This window comes from Homo sapiens, chromosome 17, assembly GCF_000001405.40.
Source record: "Homo sapiens chromosome 17, GRCh38.p14 Primary Assembly".
Classification (NCBI taxonomy): domain Eukaryota; kingdom Metazoa; phylum Chordata; class Mammalia; order Primates; family Hominidae; genus Homo; species Homo sapiens.
The window spans coordinates 72446332-72469420 of NC_000017.11; the positions used below are offsets into that span (position 1 = coordinate 72446332).

General features: G+C 46.3%; 1 long non-coding RNA gene across 5 annotated transcripts in view, besides 2 other annotated features; it reads right to left on the minus strand.

Moving 5' to 3' along the window:
- LINC00673 (long intergenic non-protein coding RNA 673) overlaps nucleotides 1-23089 on the minus strand; it is a 189483-nt gene that overhangs the window by 43010 nt on the left and 123384 nt on the right. The gene's annotated exons all lie outside the window — the stretch shown is intronic.
- Nucleotides 19168-19377: an enhancer, noted in NCBI's record as "active region_12678". NCBI's record gives its function as "activates an Ori minimal core promoter by ATAC-STARR-seq in GM12878 lymphoblastoid cells {active_cell/tissue: GM12878}" and the evidence as "EXISTENCE:reporter gene assay evidence [ECO:0000049][PMID:35858748]".
- Nucleotides 21764-22441: an enhancer, noted in NCBI's record as "H3K27ac-H3K4me1 hESC enhancer chr17:70464235-70464912 (GRCh37/hg19 assembly coordinates)". NCBI's record gives its function as "activates a minimal SCP1, AML or CMV promoter by ChIP-STARR-seq in primed H9 embryonic stem cells {active_cell/tissue: H9 hESC(primed)}" and the evidence as "EXISTENCE:reporter gene assay evidence [ECO:0000049][PMID:30033119]".

Genomic DNA, 23089 nt, shown 5'->3' on the forward strand with positions numbered 1-23089 from the left:
AATAAATAAACACGAATGGCGACACCTTCCTCCAGCAGAGAGAGATTACGGCCTCCACCAAAACACTCAATGGGTTCCTGGCAGGGCTTCCACCCCAACTGTGGACACTAGATAGAGAGATGCTCTTCATGAGAGTCTTGAGGGTTCCTTGTTAAAAAAAAAAAAAAAAAAAAAAAAAAAGTGGGTTTTTTTTGGTTTTCTTTTTTTGGTCATACAAAACGTAGTTGTGAAAGGAAAAGAAAATGCCAGCCCTGTTTGACAGACATTAGATTTATGATCGTTTTTTAAGCCTCAAGTACGTCACAAGAATCGGCCCACCCACTGCACTGCCCTGATTGTAAACACGGCCAAGTGCCCATCCCTGCTCTTCCCCTATCGGACCTGGGCTCCTCCGCTTCTGAACAGCCCTTGTTTCCCTCTCCTGGTCTCTGGTGGGTTAAAAAGATGCCTGGCTGTATATATATGGAGAGCGTACACCATGGAGCTCTCTGAGCTAAAACCTCCAAGACAAACATAGCCCGCTCACGCCTTCCCCGTCTGCCGGCAGGCCGCAGATGTTAATAAACATGGTTGGGGTTTAGGGTTTGCCCACTGATTCCTCCATCCATTTTACACTCGACAAGTCAGGAGAGCATTTTTTCCCCCTTCCCTTAACGTACAAACTCAGTAAACTGTTGTAAGGCTTGGCAACAAACTTATGAATTTTGGCCTCCAGATGTGGCTGGAAATAAAAGTAAACACAGGGTGTGAGCAACTGCGTTTCAGGTTTGTGTCCTGTGAGGCTGAGTCTGCAAAAACCAGGGCTCAGAGAGACTCATTTGCCCTTTGCCATGAGACACCGGGAGATAGTTTTCCTAAAGGTAGGGATGCTGTTTGGTGCAGACAACAGATGTAGAGGTCCACTAGAAAATGTAGGTGAAGGTTTACAGTGCAGAAATTTGGCCCCCTCTCCAGAGCACCATTCATAATCCATCCCTCTTGGCCAGGGTGGGTCACAGTGTGTCCTACAGCAACTCTGGCTAGAACACAAGTCTATAGGAGGAAAGTGCTCAGATCAGAAAAAAACTGAAAAAGCCTTATCATGAGATCCATTTCTGGTACCATTCCTACGGAAGCAGGACAGAGATGTTCAAAAAGAAAGCAAAGGGTCAAGTGTAAACTGATAGGTCTACTTCAAACATGAATCAATAGGTTTTGTTTGATTTTACAGGTCGAAAGACTTGTGGGGCTTGAGGGCCTTTCAAATCAGAAGTCCAGCTTATCTATCCATAGCAAGAGGAAGGACAGAAAATACCACGCACATCTGAGAAATGTACTGCGTATATAACTTGCAATTATAAGATCCATTTTTCATCTTGCAGATGAAGATTGGATCAGGTAAACTACTGATCCAATGTCTGGAGATAAATTATTATTATCTTCTTTTCTGGGACTGAACAAAGATGGATTGTAAGGACCACTGTCCCCTTGTTAACATATATGCCCAGACTGTCATTTTCCCCCTTGCTAAGAAGTCATTTCCACGGGGGGATCATCTTCAGTATGTGCAGTTGGTCAAGACTTCACAAATATTTCCTCTGAATTGTAACCAAGAAAACCTTCGCTTTATAAATTTTTGTTTTATTACTTTGCTAAAGCAAATACACACCAAAAAAAACACATGTGGTATTCCACTTCAGTCAAACACTATGCCTAGAGCTCTATCTCTTTTTTTTCTTCTAAAGAAAAATCACAAATGCCACCTTATAAAACAGTACATTTCAGATGCCCATGGTATTTTCTGTCCTCTTTCTTGCTATAAATAGATAAGCTGGACTTCCGATTTGAAAGGCCCTCAAGCCCCACAAGTCTTTTGACCTATACAATCAAATAAACCTCTTGGTTCATGTTTGAAGTAGACCTATCAGTTTACACTTGACCCTTTGCTTTCTTTTCTGAACATCTCTCTGTGTCTTGTTTCTGTAGGAATGATACGAGAAATGGATCTCATGATAGGACTTTTTTCAGTTTTTTTCTAATCTGAGCACTTTCCTCCTACAGTCTTATGTTCTAGCCAGAGTTGCCAGAGGACACACTGTGACCCCCCTGGCCAAGAGGGATGGATTATGAATGGTGCTCTGGAGAGGGGTCCAAATCAATTTTCACGCAGGTGAAAACTTGGAAAACTACTGGGAATTGTGGCTTTGGGGGGGTCTTTAGCTATATGCTTGCAACTTACCATGAAAAGAAAATGGTTTGGCTGTTATATGTATGGATTTTTCATCTTGTTTTGTGTTTTGAATGAAACTTTAAAGGGCATGTTAAAGGCTTTCACTTCTAGATAAGAAATCATAGAATCATCAAATTCTATCCTCAGAAAGACTCATGGAAGGTCAACTTTTAATTCTCTGACTCTGTACTTTGATGTAATTAGGGGCTACAAGCCCTTCAGTGAGCTGGCTCAGCTTGTAGAACTGAAATGTACTTTTCTATTTTTGGAATTAGGTGATGAGATGTGAAGACTAGATGTAAAATGTAAAACATTTTAAGATGTTACATAAAAATCTGGATTCCTGGATGGTCTTGAAAAAATGAGAAGATCTGGCAATCCTGCACCTGTGTTCCTACATAGAAGCAAATCACTAAAGCTGAGAAGCTGCTACCTCTTTAAGGAAGCGTGTGTGCTCTCCAGTGTACGACAATCCACATCATGCTAAAGCATTGGCCTTATTCATTCATTTGGCTCTTCTTCCTGAACCTTGTAGACATCTGAGTTTAGAATTCCTGGTTAAAAAAAAAAAACCATCTTCACTTGAAGGTTCTTGTTTGATCTTTCTCATGTGAATATCAAAGATGGATATGAATATGCAACACAGCTTGGTAAAAAGAGCCTCACAGATAAAAGCGAATCTAATATCAATGATCAATACTCTTAGAATTTCCCAGTGCAAATCAGTAAAACTTTTTGGTGCTTTGACATGTTGAAGGTCCTAACCATAAAACAATTTGGTTGGATGTGGCTTAGAGCTTTGCATTATAGATGTTACTTAACAATAGCAAAAAGGAAGCCAAGAAAGTATCCAAGAAACACATCTTACCTCCCAACACACGCACATTTGAGTTACCACCATATGTGGGTCACAATACTAATGTGTTCTCAAGAGGCGTATAATCTTTCAAGGGGCTTACAATAGAGCAAAGGTGTGTTTGTTTAACAGCATGGGAACCAGTTTGAAGGGGCTCCCAGTGGCCAAATCTGGGACAATATGAGCACCAAAATAATTAAGCAAAGTAGTGATAGGTGAACCATTGACTAATTAGGAATTCATGAGCCCATACCAATAATGAACAGACATACAGACAAATAAATAGGGATACAAATAAAAAGGTCTCTTGCTAACAGTGGAATGCCAAGAGCCAAACAGTAAATATTGAGGGAGAACTGGAGTTGGAAAATCATTTACAACCATCATGGTGAAGACCTGATCAAGCAAGAATCATCACCAGATGCTAAATCTGAAAGGCAGTCTTTGAGAATGAGAATCTTTGCATATCCTTAAAGTGTCTCTCCACTGATTGCTTATTAGCTACAAGGGAGGAAAAACACATTAATTGTACAGTGAGGAAATCAGACAACATCTTACATGGGTAATCAAAACTGACATCACCCATCAGAAAGAGATGGACATTGGGTACCTCCAGATGTGACATACTGAGAAAGATATCGCATCGCCTATGCAGCGTTGTAGCCAAGAATCCATAACTTCAATCTAATCAAAAGCAAACTTCAAACACAAATGGGGAATTTTCCATTTAAAAAAATGGAGGAGAAACTATAGTCTTCAAAAATATCCATTTCATCAAAATCAAAGAAAGGCTATAGAAATCTTCCAGATTAAGGAGGCTAATGACACATGACAATTTAAAGCAATATCTGACTCTACATTGGATTTTGTTTTCAAACTTTAAGTTCTGGGCTACATGTGCAGAAAGTACAGGCTTGTTACATAGGTATACATGTGCCATGGTGGTTTGCTGCACCTATCAATCCATCGTCTAGGTTTTAAGCCCCACATGCATTCAATATTTGTCCTAATGCTCTCCCTCCCCTTGCCCCCCACCCCCGCAACAGGCCCCAGTGTGTGATGTTCCCTTCTCTGTGTTCATGTGTTCTCATCATTCAACTCCCACTTATGAGTGAGAACATGCAATATTTGGTTTTCTGTTCCTGTGTTAGTTTGCTGAGAACCATGGTTTCCAGCTTCATCCATGTCCCTGCAAAGGACATGAACTCATTCTTTTTTATGGCTGCATAGTATTCTATGGTGTATATGTGCCACATTTTCTTTATCCAGTCTAGACTGGACTCTGTACTGGAGAGAAATTGTGTCATAAAGGATAGCATTAGATCAACTGAGAAAACTGGAACACGGAAGGAGATTAGGTAAAATAATTGCATCAATGTAAATTTATAAAGGCGATAACAGAGTTACGGTTCTATAAGAGAATCGCTCTTCTTAGGAAATATACACCAATGTATTTAGAAGTAAAGGCCCATGTTGTAGGAGCTTACCCTCAAACCGTTTAGGAAAAAAACTGCAGAAAGAGATAAAGAAAGATAAATTGAAAAAGTGAATGGCGTACAATGTTAATAACAGGTGAATCTGGGTAAAGGGGTTATGAATGTTCTTTGTGATGTTTTGATAACGTTTAAAATTATTTCCAAAGTAAAAGTTTAAAAAAAAAAGTGTGTGCACGCGCACATATGTGTATAAAAGCAAGACAGCACATGAGCACACATTAAGTACAAATCTGTGGCACAAGCCACTCGGAGGTGAAGGAGGGAGTACCACTGATTAGAGAGGTCAGAAAGGTTGAACATGGGTCTGAGAGACAGGGCGCTCTTAAGAGTTGAAAGGGTTGGGCTTTTAACTCTAACAATAGGAACCAGCATCAAGCAACTGGAGCCTCCATGGCTGCCGGGGGAAAAAATACTGCACAGAATGGACTCTATATGTCAAAAGGGAATTGATTTTAAGGCTAGAGAGACTGGGAGCCAGGGGTGGACCCAGGTACCAGGTCAAGGAGCTCACTTTCAGGATACAGTCTGGTGTGGAAGCAGAAAACCTCTTAGCAGGAGGCAACATATGCATAACCTACAGGTATGTAGGCTAGACTGCAGTGACAGGCAATCGGGAACCGCTGCAAAAGTCTGGGTGGGTGGTCACCAAATATCAGCCATAAATTCCTGAGAGGCCACAGCACTGACATTAGGGTCCCACAAGACCCAAGGCACATTAAGCATTGTTGGAAGATTGAATATGTAATTTCTTACACAAACATGTTGTATTTTCCAACTCCTACAGACCACTATTTTCCAAATATTCACTAGATAAAATATTAAATCATTAGTCAATAGGAGCCTGTGAAACAATGTAGTACTAAACAGGTCTTCAACGTTCAAAAGAGTGAGCAGCTCTGGAGATGAGGTCTCAGCCTCCTGGCCAGGGCATTGCCATGGAGATCTGTCCAGGTAGGAGAACAATGCCTTTGGTTCACTTAGAACACACCTAAAGATGGCAGCATGTAATGTACTCTGAGAAAGTACAGAGAGGAACAAGGTAAAGCTCTTATTTTTAAAAAGCTAGTGTTATGGCTCATGCCTGTAATCGTAGCACTTTAGGAGGCCAAGTTGGGCAGATCAGTTGAGGCCAAGAGCTCAAGACCAGCCAGGCCAACATGGTGAAACTCTGTCTCCACTAAAAATACAAAAATTAGCCTGGTATGATGGTACACGCCTATAATCCCAGCTACCTGGAGGCTGAGGCAGGAAAATAGCTTGAACCTGGGAGGTGGAGGTTGCAGTGAGCCAAGATCACGCCACTGCACTCCAGCCTGGGCAACACAGTGAAACTCTGTCTCAAAATAATAATAATAATAAATTAAAAGCTAGTGTTACAGGTAAGGCATTTAAATCATGGTGACAAGCTGAGTAAGAGCAAAAAGGTAAAGGAATAAAAACAGAGTTTAATGTTGACATCCAGACACATTATTTTACCCTAATGAGAAAGGCAGGAGCCTAGAGCAGAGCCCAGCCTGGAAACGAGGACAGGGGTATGCTGGACTTCAAGGATCATGGACTTGAAGTGAACGTACAGGGGGCCACACAGAGCTGACACTTGGAGAAATCTCAAGGGCTCAGATGCAAGGTTGGGAGTGATTTTTATGAGGGGTGTGGTCAAAACCACGGCAGGAGATTGGACTTCAGAGCAGAGGCCAAGAGCCCAAGCTCATCCCTGTTTAGAGAGCAGGAGGTGGGATCTGCAGGAGCCTGTGGGTAGTCAGTACTGAACCATCAGGAGCTGAGCAACCACAGGGAAGAAGGACCAAGGAAGGGCAACTAGATCTGATGAGGTTTGCAGGGTACCAAACCACAGGGTCATAAAAGCTGGACTTGGATTTCCAAGAAGAAGGAATAGGTGAGTGGTTAATATAAGATAGAGGATTCCCAGAAATCCCGACCTCTCTGTAGAAGGAAGGAAAATATTAAAGGGCAGTGCCCAAGATAAGTTTAAAGCTAATAAAGGCCCTTATAGAGGATCACAGACAGAGGGTCAGAGAGAAGAGAGGGAGTAATGATTCATATCAATTCTCAGTTGCACCCACAATTCTCTGGGCTCAGCTGGGGAGAGAATCACAACCCAAGACTTGGGCAAGAACTAAGCAGCAACTGCTTGGGAGGGATGGGGTCGGGGAGTGTGAGCAAAATCAATGTCAGAAATTGTCTGAAAAGAGTCAAGGTGAGGAGGAGGCACAAACAAACTGGAGAGGCTGTGCTCCTCAGTGACCTCATCTCTATTTGTGATTTGGGGAGTAAGGGGTTAAGAGGGATCAGGGAAAGTCAGCACAGAAGTCGCTAGAGGAGGAAGGCAGGAAGAGCCTGCACTTCATGGAGAAGGGCAGGGAGGAGGCTACCAGCCAGGTAATGTGCCCTGAGAGAGGTATTTTTATTCCAGTCTGAGCCCCGTCCCTTGTCCTCACCCCATTCTATCTGCATATCATTTACCTGTGTTTAGTTAGAAACCATGGTAATGAGGAAGCCTGAAGAAATGATTGAAATATTAGGAGGATACCAGGCCACCACGAGGCCACACTTCTGTTTTCTGGGGAACCAGATCCCTTAGGAACAAAGGGTGAGATGACAGGTAGCCCGCAGCAGTCTGTTCCAACAACCGGATTTGCCCTTTATGGGACAAATGAGCTGCCTGTGGTAAAACAGGGGACTAGAGATAACTGAAGCCTAGATTCCCAATGCTGCACCGGCTCTGGGGCTCTTGGAGCCCCTCCTGCCAGGTCTCACAGTCCTGCGCATCCTACAAGCGGGAAGCAAAGAAGTTCATCCACAAATGCAGGAGGAACCTGACCTAGACTCTGCTGCTGCTCTTGGATCTGACTGAATGATTCTGCATTCTTCTCCCCATCCATCCCCAGTGCTTTATTTTTATTCTTATTTCTTTTTAATTTTACTTTAAGTTCTGGGATACATGTGCAGAACGTGTAGGTTTGTTACACAGGTATACATGTGACATGGTGGTTTGCTGCACCTATCAACCCGTCATCTAGGTTTTAAGCCCCACATGCATTCGGTATTTGTCCTAATGCTCTCCCTCCTCTTGCCCCCCACCCCCCCACAGGCCCCAGTGTGTGATGTTCCCCTCCCCGTGTCCATGTGTTCTCATTGTTAAACTCCTACTTATGAGTGAGAACACGCAGCATTTGGTTTTCTGTTCCTGTGTTAGTTTGCTGAGAATGATGGCTTCCAGCTTCATCCATGTCCCGCAAAGGACATGAACTCATTCTTTTTCATGGCTGCCATCCCCATCATTGTACTTATGATTGAGCAAGATCCCATAGAAAGGTGCTACAGGCTGAATGTTTGTGTCTCTCCCAAAATTCATACATTGAAACCTTAATCCCCAATGCGATGGTGTTTGGAGATAGGGCCTTTGGGAGATAATCAGGTCATGAAGTCCCCATGATGGGATCAGTACCCCTATAAGAAGAAATATGAGAGAGCTTCCTCTCGCTCCCCCACTCCCTCACCCCCAACCCTGACCTTGTGAGTCAAGAAGAAAGTCATCTATAAACCAAGAAGGGGGCCTTCACCAAGAATCTGACCACGCTGGCACTCTGATTCTTGGACTTCCCACCCTCCAGAACCATGAGACATAAGGTTGCTTAACCTGCCTGGTCTATGGTCATTTTGTTATAGCAGCCCAAGCTAGGAAAAGAAAGCAAAGTCTTTAGGAAAATGCACGGCTGTGAGCTGAGTGTCCACTTCTCCACGGACAAGATTTAGAGCAACTCAGAATGTCCCATGGCTGATGGCAGGCACACAGTGGTGCCACAGGAAATTGGCTCAACCCACACTGGTGGCATAACCCAGGGGTCCCTACCTCTTGGGCCACAGACTGGTACTGCCCATGGCCTGCTAGGAGCTGGGCTGTACAATAGGAGGTGGGCAGTTGGGGAGTGAGTGAAGCTTCATCTGTATTTACAGCCACTCCCCATCACTGGCATGACCGCTTCCTGTCAGATCAGTGACAGCATCAGGTTCTCATAGGCACGAGAACCCTATTGTAAACTATGCATGTGAGGGATCTAGGTTGTGTGCTCCTTATGAGAACCTAATGCCTGTCAGTGATGATCTGTCACTGTCTCTCATCGTCCCCACATAGGACCATCTAGTTGCAGTAAACAAGCTCAGGGCTCCCACTGATTTACATTACAATGAATTGTATAATTATTTCACTATTATATGTAATATATAGTGAAATAATTGTAATATGTAATAATACTAATGTATGTAATAAATTATATACTACTAAAATGTAATACATAATAATACTAGAAATAAAGTGCACAATAAATATAATGTGCTTGAATCATCCCGAAACCATCTCCCCAACCCCACCCCACCCCATCCCTGGTCCATGAAAAAAACTGTCTGCCATGAAATTGGTCCCTGGTGCCAAAAAGGTTGGGGACCGCTGGCATAACCAACATAAACAAAAACACACACTCAGGCCCATCTTTCAAGCTCCGGCTTTAAGGACATTTTCTGCCTTGATTTATTAAATCCTGCAGTAGACAGCATGTGAAAGCCCAGTGCCGAAGGACCCCACAGACTTCCAATGGGGTCAGCTCCCCTGAAACCACAAGACTCAGAGACCCGTGGTGTTCCAGGAACCGATTTAAATGTCGCTTGAATCCTGAGGATTTTACTTTATTATTTTTTTAACTCTTGGGAAATGGTATGAAATGGCTGCTGTCATCCTTGCAGCATCTGCCTCCCAAGCCCACTGCATGGGTTCTCCCAACACCTCCCCTTGGCTCCCCTCCTGGCCAAGTTCAGAAGTGTGATGGGCTCAAAGGAAATGCCCCAGCGCCCACAGGCACCCAGAGGCTGCGTGCACCCTGGTGGTCCCTGTCGAAGCGGTCACGGCTCACCGCCAGACACCCTTGGTCCTTACAGCTCTGGCTCTGCCAGCCACAGACATCTTCAAACAGAGCCCATGAAAAGAAACACTGCTTCAGCTTTGCTCCCACCGCCATCCTGGGACCCAGGGTCCACAAGGAGAATATTTTCTTAAAGTAACTCCCTGATTTGCGGGGGTTTACCTGCCGTAGGGGAAATTTTTTAAAAAAAGAAAAGGAAAGCATTAGGAGCTTCTGTAAGAGCAGCCCAAGGAGGGGAGGGGAAAAGAAATGTCACCCTTGCTCTCTCCAGACCCGCCTGAATTTGAGGTTTGGCACAAATACCAAGACAGGGCTGGCCAAGAGAAAGGTGTGGCCCGGTGAAGGACATGTCCAGGAGTCCAGCAACTGTAAACTTGAATCCCAACCCTAACCTCGCCTAACTCCCAGCCAGGACTGCCAGTGACTCACTCATCTCTCTTGCCTTGGTGGCACCATCCAGTAAAAGACAGGACTTCTGACCTCACTGGGGAGCAGGAAGATTAGCTCATGTTTATAAAGCGCTTTGAAGATTAAAAAGCCTGTGCCTAAAGGGGGCTATTATTATTATAACTACCTGTGAAAAAAGAGAAAAAAGATTCCCATCTAGGTCTAATATTAGCTCTCATACAGAGCCAGAGGGGCAGGGAGGCACTGACTTCGTGGCAGCTCATACTTGTGCCCCTGGCACTAAGACGGTGCTTCCCAAAGTTTGGGATGGGGAACATCATGGGGGGGTGCATGGGTTGGTTTTAGAGGGTGGGCAGACAGCACAGAACAGTGTGTAATCACCGAAGGAGAAAGCGACTCCCTCTTCCATTCTCTTTTTTTTTTTTTTTTTGAGATGGAGTCTCGCTCTGTTTGCCCAGGCTGGAGTGCAGTGGCACGATCTCGGCTCACTGCAACCTCTGCTTCCCCGGTTCAAGCAATTCTCCTGCCTCAGCCTCCTGAGTAGCTGGGATTATAGGCATGTGCCACTACACCCAGCTAATTTTAGTATTTTTAATAAAGACGGGGTTTCACCATGTTGACCAGGCTGTTCTTGAACTCCTGACCTCAGGTGATCCACCTGCCTCTCAATTCTCTTTTAATCCTACTGATTCCATTTCAGGAGAAAGTCTCCATTTGGTGCTGCTAGGTCTGTACCATCTCTCCCTGGCCAATTTCCCTTCATTATAGACAGAGCAATAACCTCCCTCAAACTCAAAGGTTCGGCAGACAACTGTAGCTACCTAGAATTTATAAACATTGTTTTGATTTCATTGTGCTCATTATTTGTATAATTACTTTGAATCTATGAGAAGTGATACTGATTCACTACATTTCACTTTAAAGTTACATTTCTTTTTTTTTTTTTTTCTTTTTCCACGTTCAAGCGATTCTCTCCCCTCAGCCTCCTGAGTAGCTGGGATTACAGGCTCCTGCCACCACACCCAGCTAATTTTTGTATTTTTAGCAGAGATGGGTTTTCACCATGTTGGCCAGGATAGTCTCCAACTCCCGACCTCAGGTGATCCACCCACCTCGGCCTCCCAAAGTGCTGGGATTACAGGTGGGAGCCATCGTGATTGGCCAAAATCATGATTCTTTAAATTGGAGTTTCTCAACCTCAGCCCTATTAGCATTTGGGGCCAGATCATTCTTTGTGGTGGAGGCTGTCTTGTGCCTTATAGGATGCTGATCACCCTGTCCTGTGCCTTGCAGGATGCTAAGCATCTTTGGCCTCCTCTTCTCACCAGATGCCAGAGCATCCCTCCACCACCCAACTGGGACAACCAAAAATGTCCCTAGACATTGCCCAGTGCTGTCTGGGGGATAAACCCCAACCCCCAACACCTCCTCTGTTAGGAACTACTGCTTTTAGATCAATTCACTAAAAAACAAAAAAACAAAACTTAAATGTGTTAAATAGTAAGGTTGTACTAAAATGGCTCCAGTTTAGGAAAACCTATAACAGAGAAGCAGTCCTTCTCGCCCATGTCTGCTCCAGCTCCTGAGTCACGATCTAATGCCTCCAGGGCAGGCCTGTGCTCTGGAGCCCTCGTAGCCAAATACCATCATCCCAGTGGCTCCATTCACGGCAGGGGTCCTATCTGTGCTGGCTGATTAGAAGAGCTTTAACCATTTCTGGAAGTCATAAACAAGGGTGTTTGGAAACAATTTTCATTCCAGGCCCCTTCCCTGGTGTCAAACCCTGCTTATCAGATCTTGAGGTCTCAGTGGACACCTGCTTGTCATGGCTGGAGCAACTGCCTAGAGGCCAGAGAAAGGAGGCTCACGGGGGATCAATGGGAAACAAGGGTGGGCCCATTCAGGAATGTTGTTAAGTCCCAGAAGGGCCTTACAAGAAAGATCTAGTCCTTTCTTCCACCTTATCAAAGGAGAAACTGAGGCCCGGGAAGAAAGGCTCTATGATGTGTGCCGGGACAGATGCAGCCTGTAACAGAACATGGCGTAGAACTCAAGGCTTCCTCCAGTATTAATGTTCTCCAACACCACACTGTGCATGGCAATCCCCAGGCTAAAGAAAATGTCACTGCCCTAATACTCAAAATAGGAGGCAAAGGCTTACACATATGCTGCTTTTGACGTTTAAAACTCAGCAAGAGCAAAACTACACAAATGAAATAATTAAAATCTGCATTGGCAGCCACCCAGCAGGCAGGGGGACAGCCTGCTCCATCACCTGCTAAGCCCCCAGCACCCAACGGGCGGATGCCTACGAGCAGCTGCTATCAGAGGCTCCTTGGCATGCCTATCGTCCGGCTTTCCACGGGATGTTTTCCTTTCTTCTGCCTCTCCTATCTGGCATTTTCTTTGAGACGGAGTCTTGCTGTGTTGCCCAGACTGGAGTGCAGTGGTGCGATCTCAGCTCACTGCAACCTCCCCTTCCCCGGTTCAAGTGATTCTCTTGCCTCAGCCTTCTGAGTAGATGGGATTACAGGCACACGTCATCATCATGCCTGGCTAATTTTTGTATTTTTAGTAGAGACGGGGTTTCACCCTGTTGGTCAGGCTGGTCTCGAACTCCTGACCTCATGAGCCACCCGCCTCAGCCTCCCAAAGTGCTGGGATTACAGGCGTGAGCCACCGCGCCCGGTCCCCTCTGGCATTTTCATTCCACACCTCCTTCTCCCGAGATTACAAGGAAGTTAAATTGCCAAACTTCCTGGTTCATGCAAAGTTAAGACTGTCCATTAAATAGACGCCAGAGAAAATAAAGTCTAGTTTTGAAGATTTGGTATCAGCATGGCTCAAAGTACTTCTCTGTCTCAGGGACCAGCACCAGGCTTCTAAATGAAATCACAACCACAAAAGAGGCTTCTGGGGCCTTCAGCAAAACATGCTCACTGTCCTCCAGCCCTGTCTCTGAGGGTCCCCTCTCTGGAGTGGGAGTAGAGGCTCTCTGTGCACTTCCAAAGACACTCTAGGAATCAACTTTTATTATTCCCAGTGTTCAGATGAGAAACCTGGAGGTCACACATACCGTAAATGACAAGACCGTGGACTGAGGCTTTAACCAGATTTGCTCGTTCCAAAGCCTATACGGCTACCCCCTCTACATGCTGCTTCCCTATAAGCAAAGCTAACGTTGCCTGGAGATCCTTACTTTGTAGTTTGGAAAGCCAAGCCCAGGTAAGCTACGGACAGATATTAACAAGGCAACTTATCATTGCGATCCTATCAATGGTCTGGGCCATCAATCAATCAATCAATTAATATTCACTGAACCTGCCACATAAAATCCCAGAGTTAGCCATGCAGGGACCAGCCAGGCATGGGAGCCACGGTCTAACCAAGAACCCAGTGTTCTCACACAAGCTTAGAGAGATGGCACAGGGCGATGCGTGATTGATTGCTGATGAATGGCACAGTTACTAAATGCTATAAAGTCCAGAGAAAAATCTGAGAGTTGAAGCTGCTTTGTGGAAGAGCCGAGACGTGTAGCTGGGCCTGGAATGGTGAGAAAGACACAGATCTGCACAGAGGATCCAAGACCACCAGGCAAGAACACAGAATTCCAGGCCCTTGTTCATGTCCTCTGCAGCCCAGACAGAAACGCTGGTCAGGTCTATGCCATAAGCACGTCCGGGAGGCTCTCAACTGTCTATTCAGTGTGACACACCCCCCTCCAAAAACAGATACACACACATACACACAAACAACAACACCTGAACTCATTTCTGCTCAGCTTTAGAACGTAAATGATTGTTTTTAAATGAACAAATTTCTACTTCACTTAGAAGAGCTTGACAGGAGGTGGCATTTCTTTATTCAAAAAGAACCTGCGACGTCCCTATTACGGGTCAGTGCTTTGCTGGGCCCTGGGAATAGAGGGAGGAATAAAAGATGGATCTTGCTCTTAGGAAGCTTCGGGGCTAGACTGGAGGACCTTGAAGGAAGATGAAAAATAAACAAAAATTCTAAAAATCTATACTACGGAGAGGTTACAACACCGCAGTTCAGAACAGCACCACTTCCCCTCCCCATCCCTGACATTTCCCAGGCCTTTCTGGTTTTCTCAGTGCCTGTGTAAATGTGGTCCCTGGTCCCAGACGCCTGATTCATTCATTCTCCATGTTTGATGACACAGGAAACCCCTGAGAATGAAGGAATCAGGGGTATAACAGGCCCTAAACAAAGCCAAGATGAGCCATGTTTGTCCCCGAGAGAATCAACAGCCCCTGTATGAAAAGAGTGCTGTACAGTGGGATGGGACGAGGCAGGTTTTATAATCTGATTAAAATCGCCTGTCGGCAGTTTTCCGCTCTCCTGCTCACCCTAAATCTACAAAGAAGCTCCACTCCTGGAATCCCACACAGGTAAACCCCGTGACCTGGGGAGGATGTTTGTTGAAGAGTTGTCTCTCGTGGCGCCAAAGAGTTTGGGACAATGTAGGTGTCCATCACTGGGGGAATGGACAGGTCTGTCTGGATCAGAAGCTAGCAAACTTTCTCTGTCCAGGGCCAGATACTATTTAGGCTTTATGGGTCAGGAGGCCCCAGTCAAAATTCCTCAGCTCTGCCACAATAGTGAGAAGATAGCCATGGATGACAGGGAAATGAATGGGTGTGGCTGGGCTCCAATCACACTCTATTTACAAAAGCAAGTGGCCAACTGGATTTGGCTCAAGGGCCACAGTCTGCTGACCACTGGTCTAGAACATTCTTCTCCCAAGTATCTGCCCAGTCTCTGTTCAAATGTTATCTCCTGAGAAAACCTTTCTTGGCCACACTCTTTCTTTTTCTTTTTTTTTTGAGGCAGGGTCTCACTCTGTTACCCAGGCTGGAGTGCAGTGGTGCAATCATAGCTCACTGCAGCTTCAACCTCCCCGGGCTCAGATGATCCTCCCACCTCAGCCTCCCAAGTAGCCGAGACTACAGGCATGCACCACCGTGCCTGGCTAATTTTTGTATTTTTTGCAAAGAAAGGGTTTCACCATGTTTCCCAAGCTAGTCTCAAATTCCTGAGCTCAAGCGATCTACCCTCCTTGCCTCCCAAAGTGCTAAGATTACAGGCGTGATTCACCGTGCCCAGCCTGGCCACACTCTTTTTTTTTTTTTTTTTTTTCTTGAGACAGAGTTTGGCTCTTGTTGCCCAGGCTGGACTGCAGTTGTGCGATCTTGGCTCACCACAACCTCTGCCTCCCAGGTTCAAGAGATTCTCCTGCCTCAGCCTCCCGAGTAGCTGGGATTACAGGCATGCGCCACCACGCCTGGCTAATTTTGCATTTTTAGTAGAGACGGGGTTTCTTCATGTCAGTCAGGCTGGTCTCGAACTCCTGACCTCAGATGATCTATCTGCTTCGGCCTCCCAAAGTGCTGGGATTACAGGCGTGAGCCACCGCGCCCATCCCCGGCCACACTCTTAACTGTGCCCTCCATCACTCTTTATCCCTCACCCCTCTCTTTTATTCCACAGCATTTATCACTTCCAGATCAATTTGTCTATCAGCTTAGAGTCTGTCTTCACTCTAGTGAGGGAGAGCAAAGGTTTTTTTCTGTTTTGTTGGTCACTAGCGCCCAGCACTTAGTAGGCACTCAGTGAATATCTGTTGGGTGAATGGACGAGCAGCTGCCACGTTCATCTGTACACGTCACCCAACAATGTGTGTGCCTCGTCTTTCAGGGCTAGAGAAGTCCTGGAAAGGTCAGCCAGGTTGCCAAACCACCTCCCTGCCCCAAGGGAGGCTGCATGCAAAACTACCCCATGCAGATCTCAATCTATCTTTCCTTCCTTCCTTCCTCTCCCTTCCCTTCTTCCCTTCCCTCCCTTCCCCTCTTCACCCCTTCCCTTCCTCTCTCTTTCCCTTTCTGTCCTTCTCTCTCCAGTGAAACAGGGCAGTGAGATGCCTGTTGGTACCAAGTCCCAGAGGGTCATCACTCTGTGCTGCCACTGAGACAATTCCAGGAGCCAACAGCATTTTCTTTTAGAATCTGCCAATCTTTTCCAAACATTCCACAGAGGACTTTAAAAGAGAGAAAAAAAAAAAAGAGAGAGAGAGAGAAGTGAAGAAAAGTGACTCCTGACAGCCCACCCTGTAACCACCAAAAGCCAGTCCCACTTCTCTCCAGGAGACTGATAAAAGAATTTTTTCTTTTTAGCAGAGAATAATATTCACCTCTCTTCTTCTAGCTATTGTGGGTTTTTCCTCCCTAAATTCCAAAACCAATCTTTCAGTGCTGACATAGTAAAATCTGCCTTCCTAAAAAACCTCAGGGCTTTTCAAGCAGCCAAAAACCTCAACCATTGCACAGCCCACAAGATTTTGCAGAACAGATTATAATCCCCAGCCTCCCTCTCCTCCTCGTGAATCACAAACCAGCTAAACTCCAGTGACAGATTATGGAGCTACTGCTCTGAACCCTCCATGGGTGGAGGGAGACCAGACAGGATTGCTGGCTGCAGAAAGAAAATCATTCCACCTCATCTGTGAAGGAACCAAACTGCAGCTTTTCTCTAAAGCACAAGTTGATGGCACTTTGATGTATAGTGTTCCCTAACACCAAGGCCACTCATTTTTTTTTTTACCTCCTTGCTCTTGTGGACATGATCTATAGCAGGGGTTCCTAACCCCCAGGCCATGGACGCATTACTGCTCCATGGCCTGTTAAGAACCAGGCTGCACAGCAGGAGGTGAGTGGTGGGTGAGTGAGCAAAGTGTCATTTGTATTGACAGCCGCTCCCCATTGCTCACATTACCACCTGAGCTCCACCTCCTGTAAGATCAGTGATGGCATCAAATTCTTATAGGAGCGAGAACCCTATTGTGAACTGCACATGTGAGGAATGTAGGTTGTGCATTCCTTATGAGAATCTAATGCCTGATGATCTGTCACTGTCTCCCATCGCCCCCAGATGGGACTGTCTAGTTGTAGGAAAACAAGCTCAGGGCTCCCACAGATTCTATGTTATGGTGAATTGTATAATTATTTCATATTACAATGTAATAATAATAGAAATAAAGTACACAATAAGTGTAATGTGCTTGAATCATCCAGAAACTACCCCCACCCCACCCCACCCCACCACATCCACGGAAAAATTATCTTCCAGAAAACCAGTCCCTGGTGCCAAAAAGGTTGGGGATTGCTGCTCTATGGAGCCCCATGCGGCCTCAAAGTCCCTCAACTCTCAGTGTCCCTGGAAGACTTTTCGGCTACACTTTCTGTCCAACCGGTTCTGCCCTTTATTTTTGTTTCAGGGAGGATTATTGCCATGGCAATGTCCAGGTGACAGAGTCAGGAGGGGGAAGAAACCCACCTGTATTCAACCCTTAATCCCTTAAAGCCTGTCAGAAAGCAGCAGCCTTGGAAAATAAGAAGCCTGGCCAGTGTTTCCTATCGATCACAAGACAGAATAAACCAGAAAACAGCTCTCCACGAAGAAGCCTTGGTCAGTCAAGTGTCCCTAGGGGCTCTGCCAATCTCCCTGCATAGGAGATCTGCCCAACACACATTTGCATTTTCAGAAAGAGCAGAGCAGAAAGGAAGCAGAAAGCCAAGTCTGTGGTGGGGAAAAAGGAAAGTGGGTTTCCCATGAGATTCAGGTAGCTCCCCAGGACCGAAGGATCAGCTGGGCACGTGTGCTTCCTATCTGGGTAGTGCTGGTCATTTCTGTTTGCTGTGGCCACAGTGTGGCCATCCTATCGGCACCTCTACCCAAGAGTGGGTGGAGCAAACAAAACAAAATTCAGTTCCTGGGTATTAGCTTAGCACCCAGTCCACAAACCTCCTCTGCCTCTGAGGAGGTGAGAGGCCCTTAAAGCTACGGGCATTCACAAAGAAACAGGAGGAAATGAGGAATTCACTGGAAATTTTTGCCGTCTATGCTAGGAGGAACATCCCAGGTACCCACAGGGACTATCAACAAGTATCCACCCCAAAAAATAGATTCAATAAAACAATAAACTTACAAATATGAACTTGTAACTGTGGTTTACTATTCTTGGGGAAGTCTGTTTTATTTCTTTTCTTTTATTATTTCTTTGAGACAGGGTTTTCCTCTGTTTCCCAGGCTGGAGTGCAGTGGCACAGTCATGGCTCACTGCAGCCTTGACCTTCAGGGCTCAAGCAATCCTCCTGCCTCAGCCTCCCAAGTGCCTGGGACCACAGGTGTGTGCCACCACATCCAGCTAATTTTCAAATTTGTTGTAGAGATGAGGTCTCACTACATTGCCCAGGCTGGTCTTGAACTTCTGGGCTCAAGTGATCCTCCCGCCTCGGCCTCCCGAAGCGCTGGGGTTATAGGTGTAAGCCACCGCACTTGGCCTGTTTTAAATAAGTGTTGTATACTTGTGTGTGCTGGAAAACAGCTATCCAGAAAACACCACGGATAGACAAGCTTCCCCAACCAAATTGTGTTCCCAGTTCATGCGTTATCCACTGACCCTCATTTAAACTTGGTTTTGGCTCCCTGTGTTTTTCATTTCATTGTTAAGGAGGCATACACTAGATCCTTCCTCTTCTTGGGCTCAGTTATCCACAGAGATACAATATTTTAAAGGTTGTCATGTCCTTGCCTGGCTTATCAAGGAAGTAAGGGACAGCCCAAGGGCTTCCCAGGTAAGGAAAAACAACGGTTTTATAAAGCCACGGCTGGTGACAGTGCAAAAGGAAAGGCTGCTTCCATTGTATCTGGTCATTGGGTTTGCTGTGTGCCTATCAGGTTTATAAAACAAACTGCAGCAGTGAGAGGCTGTGAGTGAGCTCTCTTCCTTCCCCTATTAACTATCTATGCAGTAAGAAGGCCTGATGCACCCATTTAGCTGGGAATAGCTGCCAGAACTTTAAGGCTGATGCCTGGGAGAGAGTCAGTGGGCGGCACCGGGCTGGCTTTCTGAATTCAATCAGAGGTGGCCAGCCCCCTCTAACCATGATCCAAATGTACATGCCAGATGAGGAGCCGTCGTGGTTGAACAGGGAATGTTTCATGCAAATCATGGGTTTGGAGCAGGATTTTGTGGAGGGAGCATCCTTGAGAAAAATGTTGGGATGGCTACGGACTGGCGGGCTATTAGTCACAGAGCCACCACCTCCTCCATGAACGATGAAAGTTCTTACCACCCTGGATGCACAGATCAGCAGTTAATAATGAGGTCTCAGCATGGAGGAGACACATTCTTTCACACACATGCACACACACACATATGCACACCTGCACACACATACATACATACATACAAGCATGCACAAGAAGTCTTAGAGCCCCATCTCCTTTTGGCTGGGATTTTGCATCCTGAGAATCTTGGGTGTTACCCATGGGAACAAGCTCCTCCGAAGCCACACATGGTTGAAACTCCTCTCCCAGTGACAACGACGTCACGTCTCCCAGGCACTGGCTCCCTTGGGAATGTGTGAGTTGCTCCCCTGGGGCAAAGAGCAGCTGCTCGGGGTGACTCATAAATTGTGCTCTCAGCCCTGTCACCCACTGTGCCTCCCGTCCATTACTCAGCCTTCTCCCTGCGCTTGTTCCTATGGCTGCCCCTCAACCCAGCTCACCGCTGCTCCCAGCTCGCTCGGCACTCTGCAAGGATTGGCATTTGCTTCGGGCAGACTCTTCTCTGTCCCTGCCTTCTCTCCTCCATGAGACCCAAGGCAACACAATTTGCCCTTTGAGGAGTTGGGAGTGGGAGCAGAGATCGGGGTGACAGGGGACAGAGAGATAAAGGCAAGAAAAGAATGTTCCCTTCGTTGAAAAACAGTTCAGCTCCAGGGTCACCTCTTTGAAATCATCAGTGACACCTCACTCTGCGTACTCCCCTCAAACACAGCCCCTAGGCATTGCTTCTTCTAGGATCTGGGATTTTTGACACTGAAGGGTCCTGGCTGCCTTAAATCCTTTCTAGAAGAAAGTGGAATGAGGCAGAGTATAAACAGACAAATACACCCAACAGGTGAAATAAAACTTGAGCTTCTTAAGCAATGCTCTGTTTCTACAGGCAGCTCCCACTTGTGGAAAGGCAGAGGGATGAGGAGGGTGGACATGAGTCAAGCCTCCCCCTTCCACTCCCCACTGTCAACCCCCACCCTGACCCATTCAACAGCCTAGGGAGTTCCCTGCTTAAGGGAATCTTAGAACACACACCCTCTGCAAATACCTACAGCCTGTGTACTGAAACTTAGAGATTACTTCTGAAAAAGTGACATCATCAACAGTACAGGATTCTCAAAAACTCAGTCCCTGTTTCCTTTTTACTTCTGTTATTTTAAAATACCAAAGATACTTGCATTTTCTTCTTTTCCAACTGTTAGTGAACTCTATTCCAATCAGCATTAAGCCCAGCAATTTTTGTACTAGGTACCTACTCCTACACTCCCTGTTTAATAATCAGTCATCTAGAATAGGGACTGGCAAGCTTTTTCTGTAAAGGACCACAGAGTAAACATTTTCAACTTTGTGGGCCATGACATCTCCATCGGAGCTACTCAACTCTGCCATTGTAGCATGAAGCACCCATAGACAATAAGCAAATGAACAGGTATAGCTGAGTCTCAATAAAACTTTATTCATAGACTTGGAAATTTACATTTCATATAATTTTCACATGTCACAAAATATTCCTTTTTTTGATTTTAACTTTTAATGTGGAAAGGATTCTTAGCTCACGAGCTGTACAAAAACAGGTGGCAGGCCGGTCTTGGCCCACAGACTGTAGTTAGCCAACTCCTGGTCTAGAATCAAATATTTAAATGGAAACCCTGAGAGAGCTCTTTCTTTTGAAAAGAATATGATAATCGTGATAATAGCTCCCATGTATTGAGCACTTGTTCCATGAAAGAACTTGACATGGAAAAACGGCTTTTCATCCTCATATTAACATATGAGACAGGTAAATATTTTCTCTGTGTTTTGTGGAGGTAGTCACTGAAACTGATGAGAAGAAAATTAACTCACCAGGTTCACTGCAGCAAGGATTGGAACCTGAAGTGCAATTCCAGACAGAGATACGGGATGCACGGGTTCAGCATCCTTAAAAACACAGATTCCTGTATGTTAAGGAGGTGATGAGAAGGAGGTGTCTGGGGAGCCACCCCATGGGATTTATATCACTTGTTCAGAAAAACCTTCCATCAAGGCTACCATGAAGGAGTAGTCTTCCTGCCCAACTCCTAAACATTTCGCTCAAGTGAAACACAGCTCAGATGGACTCCAAGAACCCTTTAGAACTGGGGAGAGGGAGGAGAGTGGATGCATTTGACAAATGGTTAAGGGCCACCTTGTACTGGGGGTCATAGAAGGTACTGAACGGTGATTGAGAAGCCAACTGCAGGGATGTGAGCCTTGGCTCATTATTTTTGGCTCTGGCAGATGCCTGGGCCCCCTGCCCCTGTGAGTACTACCCCAGGATGCCCAGAAGCAGGGTTCTGTCTCCACGTACTACCCCCAACAGGAGGTCTCTGCGTCCAGCAGCCTCCGCTTCCAAATATTCCCCATTTCTGCTCTTCCTCTAGGCCCAGCCCTCCCCACTGTCAGCCTCCAAGGTCCAGGCTGGAGGCAAAATGTCCCAGAGCTGAGTCTGCTGCCACCCAGAGAGAATTCTATTCAAAATGAGGGCCCTGGGAAAGAGTTGGGTGGCTGCTTTCAGTTCCTCTTAGGCCCGATGCCTGATTTCTTTTCCATTCTGGGCACCAAGGCTCATCTGGACAGAAGAGCACACTCCTTGGCTGCCTCTGGGCCCACCACACCCGGTGGAAAGGCACGGATCCTGGATATAAACCGACCAAAGCAAGACAAGGCCGTCTGCTGGAGCCGCCCTCCGCCCTCCAGACACGCACACTGGTTTCCTAATCCTTGGGATTTCAGGAAAAGGAGGCCCGACCCGCCACGGCACTGAGAGGGAGGGAGAGAGGGAGAGAGAGAGAGGGAGAGGGAGAGGGAGAGAGAGGGAGGGAGAGAGAGAGAGAGAGAGAGAGACCAGGCGGGAGGCAAGCTTCTCATTATGTAAAACACTTGGCTCATTCCTCTTTCTCTGCATCCTGCTAGCGATTTTGTATCCGGTTTGGGAATTCCAGGAACATCTGCAATTGTCTTTTGCCCAACCACACATGTGCAAGCTGTAGGGCTCAGTCATGTTCCTACCTGCGGTGCCCTGTCATTAGCCCTGAACTGTGTGTGCTTTCTCTCCTCAGCAGCAAAACATATAAAACCCTGGCCGGCGACCACACCTGCAGGACTCCACCTCCCCGCCTCCTCCCACTGAGACCAAAGGCAGAGAGACCAAGTCACCTTTCCGACAGTGAGAAATGCCAGGGCGAACAGGGCTTGTCTGAACAGTCCAAGTCCTCTAACTAAACAGACAGTACATTTTTAACACAGCGTTCTCCCCTACCTCTCCCTGTTTGTGTGGGAAGGCCTGGGGAGGCCGGGTGGAAAAGGGTAGGTGCAATTCAATTCAAGACTCTCAGAAGGGGTGCTTGCTTGCTTTGGTTCTACTTCAGCCAGCACTGATGACCTCCACCCAGATCAGAAAGGAACTCTTTGGACTATGAGTCTCCAAAGTGCAAGAAACATTGACCTCAGAAGCCAGCGACCACCTCTTCTTGCCACTCTGGGTGTGGCAAGATGGTATAAAAAATAATGCCTACTATTGCTGTCTTCCGAACTAAAATAAGCAATGCATAGAATGCATTTGAAGACTGAATGGTACACAGTGTGCAGTCAACCAGTTTGTTATGAATATTCATGATTATGATCAGTCCTCATCCTCTTTGTAAAACTCTTTCCCTCCTCCCCTTTTGCGCCATGCTGCACACTCCTGGCTTCCTTCCCCAGTCCCACTGTGCTTCCCATGTCCCCTGATCCCCACTGGCCTCCACGCACCTAAACACTGCAGTGTTCTCCAGGAATCCATCTCTCCTTAGTCTCCCAGCTCTCCCACTATGGACCCATCCCATGACTCCATCTTTTGCTGGGTGTGGATACACACCCCCAGTCCCTTGGCACAAAGATTTTGGCCAACCCTGGGTCCAGCTCCACCCTTTGCTCCTACCTGTCTTGCAGCACTGCTGACACTGTCCTGTAATTTCTTCATATGCTTATCTCACACATGTCTGATCAGCAAGACTCCATGCCTGCATTTATCCCCACAACC